The sequence below is a fragment of the Homo sapiens genome, chromosome 2, assembly GCF_000001405.40.
Source record: "Homo sapiens chromosome 2, GRCh38.p14 Primary Assembly".
NCBI classification, from domain to species: domain Eukaryota; kingdom Metazoa; phylum Chordata; class Mammalia; order Primates; family Hominidae; genus Homo; species Homo sapiens.
Window position 1 is genome coordinate 70,322,089 of NC_000002.12, and position 9,586 is coordinate 70,331,674.

At 44.5% G+C, this 9,586-nt stretch overlaps 1 annotated feature.

Moving 5' to 3' along the window:
- Positions 7,729-8,023: a silencer, noted in NCBI's record as "tiled region #10868; K562 Repressive non-DNase unmatched - State 21:Repr". NCBI's record gives its function as "represses a minimal TATA promoter and a strong SV40 promoter by Sharpr-MPRA in K562 cells {active_cell/tissue: K562}" and the evidence as "EXISTENCE:reporter gene assay evidence [ECO:0000049][PMID:27701403]".

A 9,586-nucleotide genomic window follows, 5' to 3' on the forward strand; every position in this document is an offset into this window, starting at 1 on the left:
GGCACCATCTCTGCTCACTGCAACCTCCACCTTCCAGGTTTAAGCGATTCTCTGGCCTCAACCTCCCAAGTAGCTGGGATTATAGGTGTGTGCCACCATGCCTGGCTAATTTTTGTTATTTTCAGTAGAGATGGGGTTTTGCCACGTTGGCCAGGCTGGTCTTGAACTCCTGACTTTGGGTGATCCACCCATCTTGGCCTCCCAAAGTGGTGGGATCACAGGTGTGAGGAGGCTTGCCTTGTTCTTTAAAGTCAAGAAAACATAGTTTCTAGGAAATGGAAAAAAAAGATAATGAGATAATAGAAATGAAGATGGATCTGCCTAATGGAGTACATAAAGAGGAAGGAAGATGAAATAAAAAGGAAAGAACACTTTGAAATGAAATGTGGTAGTGGTTTCCATAGTACTTAATGTTTTAGAAGTGGGGATCTTATGGGAAAATCTAGGTTTCAGTTAAGACAAGGAGGTGAAGGAAACCTTAGTAGAAAGGTTGGCAGTATGGGGGCATTTATTACACTCAAAACTAATTCTGGTGGGCATGGTGGAAAAGCTTGAGACAGAAACAGAAGGAAGTTGAGTCAGGGCATGGAAACCCTGAGTGCTATGATGATGAAAATACCAGAGGTGGTAGACGGCCAGAGAGCCTTGTGTTACAGAGTCATGTGTGTGGGGCAGGGTGAGTTTAATTGGCTACTCAGGTAGGACACAAACCAGCTAAGGCTCTGGAAGTACACATGCACTTTTCACCAGGAACATATCCCGCTGGTGTGTGTGCAGCAAAGTACAGCCATTGTTAAGAGACACTCAAAACAAAAGCAACCCAGAAAGGCTACAAATAAGAGGGCAGCCTTGCAAAGGCAGACCCAAAGAAATCAGGGATTGCAGCATCAGTATCAGGATAAATGAATCCAAGATAAAAACATGCTGAAGTTCTTTTAGGCCTTCAAGGAAAAAGATGAGTCCCAGGTTTAATAAATCCAACACTGACTAAGTGAAATTAATAAAGGAATTTATTGGTGTAACTCATCAAATCAAAGACAGAGCAGAGACAGAGCTGGCTTTGGCCAAACCAAAGGACTCCAGGGCAGTTGGAGTGGTTTTTGGTTTTTCATTTCTGCATTTCTCTGTGTGTTGGCTCTGTTTTATCCTTCACATGGAGAAGAACGTGGATCTTGGCAGCTTGAGGGTCACATCCTTTCAGCTTGTACCCAGAGAGGAAAAGAAGGCAGCTCTTACTGCTAGCTTTTACAAGAAAAAGCCCGGGAAAGACCTCTGATTGGCCTGGCTTGGGTCCCATATATACCCTGGAAACAGCAATTATGAGGTACCTGATTGGTACCTGATTGGCTCAACCTCACATGTGTGTACTTCTGAGGTCAAGGCTGCAGGGTCTCTTAATGGAGAAGGGGTTGGGGAGAGGATTAACAGATAGCTTTGCAAAATATAGCCACTACCATAAGTAGATAAGCAGATTCAACACATTGTTATTAAAAACAAAGCAACTATAAAATGGATACCACACCTAATATAATAAAGACAAAATGAGTAATCAGAAAAGGAACATAGATACCACGGTGAACAAAAATTATTAGAATAATGTAATGCATAATGCTATGCTAATATGTTTTTAGATCTCATGGGATTCTTTTTAAAGATAATATAAATTATCAATATATGTTCAAGACGCTTCTTGCATACAGAGTTTTTTCAAGTCTTCAAAGGAAAGAATTCCTGGCTGGGAGTGGTGGCTCATGCCTGTAATCCCAGCACTTTGGGAGGCCAACGCAGGCGGATCACTTGAGGTCAGGAGTTCGAGACCGGCCTGGCCAACATGGCAAAACCCCATCTCTACTAAAAGTACAAAAATTGGCCAGACGTGGTGGCAGGCACCTGTAACCCTAGCTACTCAGGAGGCTGAGGCAGGAGAATCACTTGAACCTGGGAGGTGAAGGTTTCAGTGAGCCGATATTGCGCCATTGCACTCCAGACTGGGTGACAAGAGTGAGACTCTGTCTCAAAAAAAGAAAAAAAAGAAAAGAATTCCTGTGATACATAAATTATTGGATAGTAGAGAATTTTATTTTACAAAGCTAGCATGAAACATAAAGAGAACAAAACATCCCCTCAACAGGCTGGGCAAGGTGGCTCATGCCTGTAATCCCAGCACTTTGGGAGGCCGAGGCAGGAGGATTGCTTGAGCTCAGGAGTTCAAGACCAGCCTGGGCAATGTGACAAAACCCCATCTCTACAAAATATACCAAAATTAGCCAGTGCGGTAGTGCACACCTGTAATCTCAGCTACTCAGGAGGTTGAGGCAGGAGAATCGCTTGAACCTGGGAGGTGGAGGTTGCAGTAAGCCAAGGTTGCACCACTGCACTCCAGCCTGGGTGACAGAATGAGAGTCTGTCTGGAAAAAACCAAAAAACCCAAAAACATCCTCCTGACAAGCATACAAAACATGTAGACTGATTTAACGAATGAATGTGGATGCAAAATGATAATGTACTTCCAAATAAAATCCAACGAATAAACATCACACTCAGGTAGGGTTTATTCCAGGAATGCTGATATAGTTCAATATAAAGTGATATATCAGTATAAACTATTCATTTCATCACAGGTCAAAGGCAGCAAAAGCAATCACTTCATTGTTCACATATAATTCAGTGATGTCCATGTTGAAAACACAACATAATTTCCTATATAAAGGCAAAATGCCTTAGTACACAAAGCCCTGTATGTTGGGCCCTCCTCTCTCTCTGAGCTTACCTCCCCCATGCTCTGCCTGGCACTCTGTGTTAAACATGTGTACTGGCCTTTTTATTTCTTCATGTGCACCAGGCTTCCAGGACCACAAAGGCTTTGCATACGCTCTTTCCTCCACCTGCAACTCTTCCCTCCCTTTTTGACTTAGTGCCTTCTCTCCTTTCAGATCTAAGTTTACTCATTGCTTCCTTCAGGAACCTTTCCTTACCTCTGTAATCAGTCAAATCCTCCCTACTCCTGGGCTACTCAAACTATGAAGCATCCTGGTAAGGTGCAGATTCTGGTTCAGAAGGTCTGGAGATGCTGTGTTTCTAACAAGCTCCCAGGTGGAGCCCAGGCTGCTGGTGCATGGACCACAGATTAAGTATTGTAATCCTTTTCTTCCCAGCACCAGTTGTGGTGTACTTTTATTTTTTATTTATTTATTTTTTTGAGATGGAGTTTCCCTTTTGTTGCCCGGGCTGGAGTGCAATGGTGCGATCTCGGCTCACTGCAACCTCTGCCTCCTGGGTTCAAGCGATTCTTCTGCCTCAGCCTCTCGAGTAGCTGGGATTACAGGCATGCACCACCATGCCCAGCTGATTTATATATATATATATATATATATATATATATATATTTTAGATGGAGTCTTGCTCTGTCGCCAGGCTGGATTGCAGTGTTATGATCTCGGCTCACTGTAACCTCTGCCTCCTGGGTTCAAGCAATTCTCCTGCCTCAGACTCCTGAGTAGCTGGGACTACAGGCGCACACCACCATGCCCAGCTAATTTTTGTATTTTTAGTAGAGACAGGGTTTCACCATGTTGGCCAGGATGGTCTCGATCTCTTGACTTAGTGATCTGCCTGCCTTGGCTGCCCAAACTGCTGGGATTACAGGTGTGAGCCACCACGCCCGGCTGATTTTATATTTTTAGTAAAGACGGGGTTTCTCCATGTTGTCAGGCTGGTCTTGAACTCCTGACCTCAGGTGATCTACCCGCCTTGGCCTCCCAAAGTGCTGGGATTACAGGCGTGAGCCACCACGCCCGGCCGTACTTTTACCTTTTTTATGGGATTATTTGACTAACATCTGTGTCCTCCACTAGATTGCAATAAGCATCATGAAGGCAGGGACCATGTCTATTTTGCTCACTGTTGTATTTAGTACTCAGCGTAGGGCCTGGTACATAGTTGGTGTTCAAGACATATTTGTTGAATAAATAAATGAGAAAAATGACGTCATTATCTACAGATATGGTAAGAAGGCATTTGATACAAATGTGTTTTGGCGAAATTACCTAATAAATTAAGGATGGAAAGTTTTCCTTGAATATGATAAAGAATATCTACCTTAAATATTAAAATGTATTATAAAGTATAGTATGGCAATAGACATAGAGAAAAATATTTACAAATGAATAACGAGCTCACAATAGATTCAAATATATATATAGGGATTTAATAAAAGATAAAGATGGCTTCAAATCACCAAGGAAAAAGAGGAGTCACTCAATCAACATATTAGAACAACTGGCTGGCCATTTGGGGAAAAAGTGATCTAAGTCTCATGTCAAAATAAACTCCAGATTTGAAATTTAGAAACATAACAAAAAAGTGCTAGGGGAAACACAGGCAAAACTGTTCTTATAATCTTGAGGCAGGATGATTCTAAGTAGGACATAAAGGAGAGAAATAAAACAGAAAAATATGGATATGCAAAAATTAAAAAACCCTTGTTCTTCACAAACTGGGAAAACATTTGTAACATATGTGTCTGATAAAAGAATGATAACAAAGTGTTTCTACCAATTAAAGAAAAAGGCAAAAAACTCAATAGAAAAGTGGGCAATTTAGCCGGGCAAGGTGGCTCACACCTGTAATCCCAGCACTTTGGGAGGCTGAGGCGGGCGGATCACCAGGTCAAGAGATCAAGACCATCCTGGCTAACATGGTGAAACCCCGTCTCTACTAAAAATACAAAAAAAAAAAAAAAAAAAAAAATTAGCTGGGCGTGCTGGCATGAGCCTGAAGTCCCAGCTACTTGAGAGGCCAAGGCAGGAGAATTGCTTGAACCTGAAGGTGGAGGTTGCAGGGTTGCAGTGAACAGAGATCGAGCCACTGCACTCCAGCCTGGTGACAGAGCAAGACTCAGTCTCAAAGAAAAAAAAAAAAAAAAGAGAAGTGGGCAATTCACCAAAGGAAAAAGAAATAGGAATGGCTAATAAGCATATCGTTGGAGAAGGCTTTGTCCTCCTAAAAAGATATGTTGAAGTCCCAACCCCTAGTACTTCAGACTGTGATCTTATTTGGAAATAGGGCCTGTACACTTGGATTAATTTATATTCTAGTTAAACTGAGGTCATAGAGTGGTCTCTAATCCATTGTGACTGGGTGTCCTTATAGAGTGGGGACATTTGGACAGAGGCAGACAGGCACAGAGGGAAGACACGTGAAGAGGCACAGAGAGAAGACAGCCCTGCAAGCCAAGGGACAGCTGAGGCTACCTGCAGCCAGGAGAGAGGCGGGAGCAGATCCTTCCCTACCATCTTCAGAGGTGAGACCATCAATATCTGTTGTTTTAGGCCACGCAGCTTGTCACACTTTGTTAGAGCAGCCTGAGGAAACTAATGCATGTATGAAATCATATTCAGTTTCACTAAACATTTAAGAAATCAAAAAGAAAACAAATCACGGTTCTTCCTATCACACAGTTCAACTCGTTGGCTAGCAGGGCAAAACCTTTTGCAGGCGAGGATGAGAGGAAAAAGGACCGTTTACACGGTGGTGATGTAAATGGTACGACTAGCCTGTAGAGCAAGGTCATTTAGCAGTGAATATCATAAGCCACAAATACATGAAAACTCCTTGACCCAACAATTCATCTTGAAGGAGGGAGATAAGCAGACATGTTTGGAAAGATATGTGAACTAGGATGTATAGTACAGCATTTATAATATTCCACGTTTGGAAGCAACTAAACGTGTAAGAACAGGAAACAGATTAAATAACTAACAAAAGGACCGTGCAATGAAGTACCCCACAGACACAAAGAACCACACTGTAGGAGAATTTTTTTTGGTAAGAAAGAAGTATGTTACATTTGATTGAGTGAAAAAACTCAAGTAACAAAATAGTTTATGCATCATGATTTATTTTTAAAATAAGAAACAAATGTTATATATACATGCCTAGAAGAAAATCTGAAGAATCACAGCACAACTGTTAAGGGTCATCACATAGGAGTGATTGGATTAGAAATGACTATAATTTTCTTCTGAATGTTTACAGGGGTTTCTAAGTTTTCTTTAATAAATGTGTCTTCTTGCTCACAGCTGTAATCCCAGCACTTTGGGAGGCCGAGGTGGTCGGATCATTTGAGGTCAGGAGTTTGACACCAGCCTGGCCAACATGGTGAAACCCCGTCTCTATTAAAAATACAAAAATTAGTCCGGGCACGGTGGCTCACGCCTGTAATCCCACCACTTTGGGAGGCCGAGGCGGGCGGATCACGAGGTCAGGAGATGGAGACCATCCTGGCTAACACGGTGAAACCCATCTCTACTAAAAATACAAAAAAATTAGCTGGGTGTGGTGGCAGGCGCCTGTAGTCCCAGCTACTCGGGAGGCTGAGGCAGGAGAATGGCGTGAACCCGGGAGGCGGAGCTTGCAGTGAGCCGAGATCGCGCCACTGCACTCTAGCCTGGGCGACAGAGCGAGACTCGGTCTCAAAAAATAAAAAATAAAAAATAAAAAAAATTAGCTAGGTGTGGTGGCGCATGCCTGTAGTCCCAGCTACTTGGGAGGCTGAGCCAGGAGAATCGCTTGAACCCGGGAGGCAGAGGTTGCAGTGAGCCAAGATCGCGCCATTGCCCTCCAGCCTGGGTGACATAGGCTCCATCTCAAAAAAAAAAAAAAGTGTCTTCTTTAGTTATATAAAATTTCTCTTGTTAGAACATCCATCCTAATTAATGAGAAAAAGAATGAGGACTGATAGTTCATATAATACTAAAGCTCACTCAACAAAACTTTGAAATTATTATTATTTTTAGTTAACTATCAGGTGCTTTATCCACAGATACTTAAGGCCTTATCACTGCCCAGAGACATTAGCTGGACCAAAGGGCAGCATGGGCAAGCTGGGCTGCTCAGCAGGGAGCAGGCGCTGTGGATTTCCGTTTTCATCCCGTCAGCTTGCTCCCTCTGTAATCACAGCTCTGCCCAGATTGTCTTAATGACAACCCTGCCTCACCTGGTTTCCGGAATGGATGCATTCCTTCCCACTTTGATCACAGAATGCTATTCTCATTCTCCAGGGTGTGGGCCCAGCCTGGCTCAGTGCCTGCTTGCCAAGGACCTGCCCTGAGTCACTCTGTCTTTGGTGCCGACAATCTGATTGCTACAGCTGGATATTTTTTCTTTCCTCTCCTTCAACTTGAAGAAAACACCCTCCTACTCACTCCCGCTGCCCTGCCCTGCCCATGGGAATCACTCTAGAGTTTAACAATGTTGTCTGTCCTCTGTCTGTAACTTTGGGAAAACAGGTGAGCTGGGAAGCAGCAGGTGAGCTGGAGTACAGAGTACAAAAGGGCACACTGGGGCTTTGGCTTCTGTTCTGATGGATTGCCAGGGTGTACAAAGCAGTTCTCATGGAAAAGGCATCATGGCAATTTGTTTACTGTGGTTAGTCTTGAGGATCTGCTGTTAATTTAGCCATATATGTGTACACACACACACACACATGCATGCAAATGTGTTAAGAACTATAAAGTTCTCTACAATCGTTATTTAAATATCAGAGACGCTCTTGGTTGAGCTTTTGTTTTTTTTAGAGACAGTCTTGTTCTGTTGCCCAGGCTAGAGTGCAGTGGTGTGATCATAGCTCACGGTAACCTTGAACTCCTGGGCTCAAGAGATCCTCCTGCTTCAGCTTCCTGAGCAGCTGTGACTACTGGCATGGGCCACTATGCCTGCCCAATTAAAACAAATTTTCTTTTGTGTAGATGCGGTCTCAATATGTTGCCCAGGCTGCTTTCAAATTCCCGGCCTCAAATGATCCTTCCACTTCAGCCTTCCAAAGTACTGCTATTATAGGCGTGAGCCACTGCCCTTGGCCTCCAGCCAGCTTTATAGAACATAACTACTGTGAATAATGAAGGTAAACTGTACTTTGCCTCACCCAAGATGGTGGGACCTGTAAAGATTCAAAAGTGCCGGCTGGGCGCGGTGGCTCACGCCTGTAATCCCAGCACTTTGGGAGGCCGAGGCGGGCGGATCACGAGGTCAGGAGATCGAGACCATCCTGGCTAACACGGTGAAACTCTGTGTCTACTAAAAATACAAAAAATAGCCGGGCGTGGTGGTGAGCGCCTGTAGTCCCATCTACTCGGGAGGCAGAGGCAGGAGAATGGCGTGAACCTGGGAGGCGGAGCTTGCAGTGATCCGAGATAGCGCCACTGCACTCCAGCCTGGTTGACAGAGCGAGACTCCGTCTCAAAAAGAAAAAAAAAAAAGAAGATTCAAAAGTGCCTAAGAAGGTTTGAGTGGGCATCTAGGCTCCTGGGGAACATCTGTGTTCCGGTGTTCCACAGCCTGAACCTCCAGCACTCTGTGAGCTCAGAGTGGGGCCCTCTCTCCTCTGCACCCCAGACACCAGCATTAAGTTACTGCTGCTCCTCCCAGCAACCCAGAGGTACCTCTGGAACTTTGTGGCTCAAGCTTGATGTTAGTGGATGTGTTTGATTCTAGGGGCGGGGAGAAGTCTGCAGGAACTTCTTCGGCGGCAGTGTAGAGACTGCTGCTTAGGGCCAGCCTGGGTGGGAACAGATGGGGCTGCTCACCTCCCAGCTGAAGCAAAAAAAAAAAAAAAAAAAAGCAGGGAGGAGACTGCCCCCTATTAGAGGAGAGAAACAGAATTCACAGCTGGAGACACTATTTGGGGGTTGCAAAGAGAGACTATACATTGGATTTGAACCATGAGGTTGGAAGCTGATGGGACTGGGAACAAGTTGGGCTGGAGCAGATGAAACAGGGAGATGTGAACAAAAGAACACCAAGGAGGGGAGCACCAGAGAGGAGCAAAACACATGTCACCCTGCCCATATCCCTCCAGTGGGGGACACAGATGCCAAATAGATAAGCAAAGTGTATCATTATAAATTGGGGGACGTATTATTCAGAAAAGGTAGAGGGCTGTGAAAGAGAATAACAGAGGGGCTTTAACTGAGATGGGGATGGGGGAAGCCAGGAGAGGCCCCAGAACCAAGCTTTGAATTGTGAAAGGATGTGAACCAGGCTGCAGGGGCGCCCAAAGCACATTAGGAGCAGAATGGCCCACCTGGGGTCACCAAGATGGACAGGGCTGGGTGCCTTCCAGGACTGAAAAAACCGTCTGCCTGAGGGGCAGAGAGGCCAGTGGGGTCGGGAGATGAGACCGGGAACAGAGGCAGGGCCAGACCATACCGGCCTGCAGGCTGCGTGAAGGAGCTTGGAGTTTATTCTAAATGCAACTGTGCTCTGGGTGCCTGTCCTCACGGTGTGACTTTTAGGACCACCAAATATATTTGATGGCATTGTTCTATGTTAGAGCAAACTTGCAGATTTTATAAACATTTGAAGGGAGATACACTGCCACGTTTGCAAAGTTGTTTTGAAGGTGGAAGTGGGTGAAACTGTGTTCCTCTTTCTACTTTTAAAATATTTTGCCTTATTTTCTTAACGACTGCATTACTTTGATAAATGTGAACATTATGGGAAAAAGAGCCCCCTGTGCTGATGGCTGAAGTCCCTGGGTCCCATGGGGTAGATTCTGGGCTAATGCTTTATGTTCATGAAGTTTTAT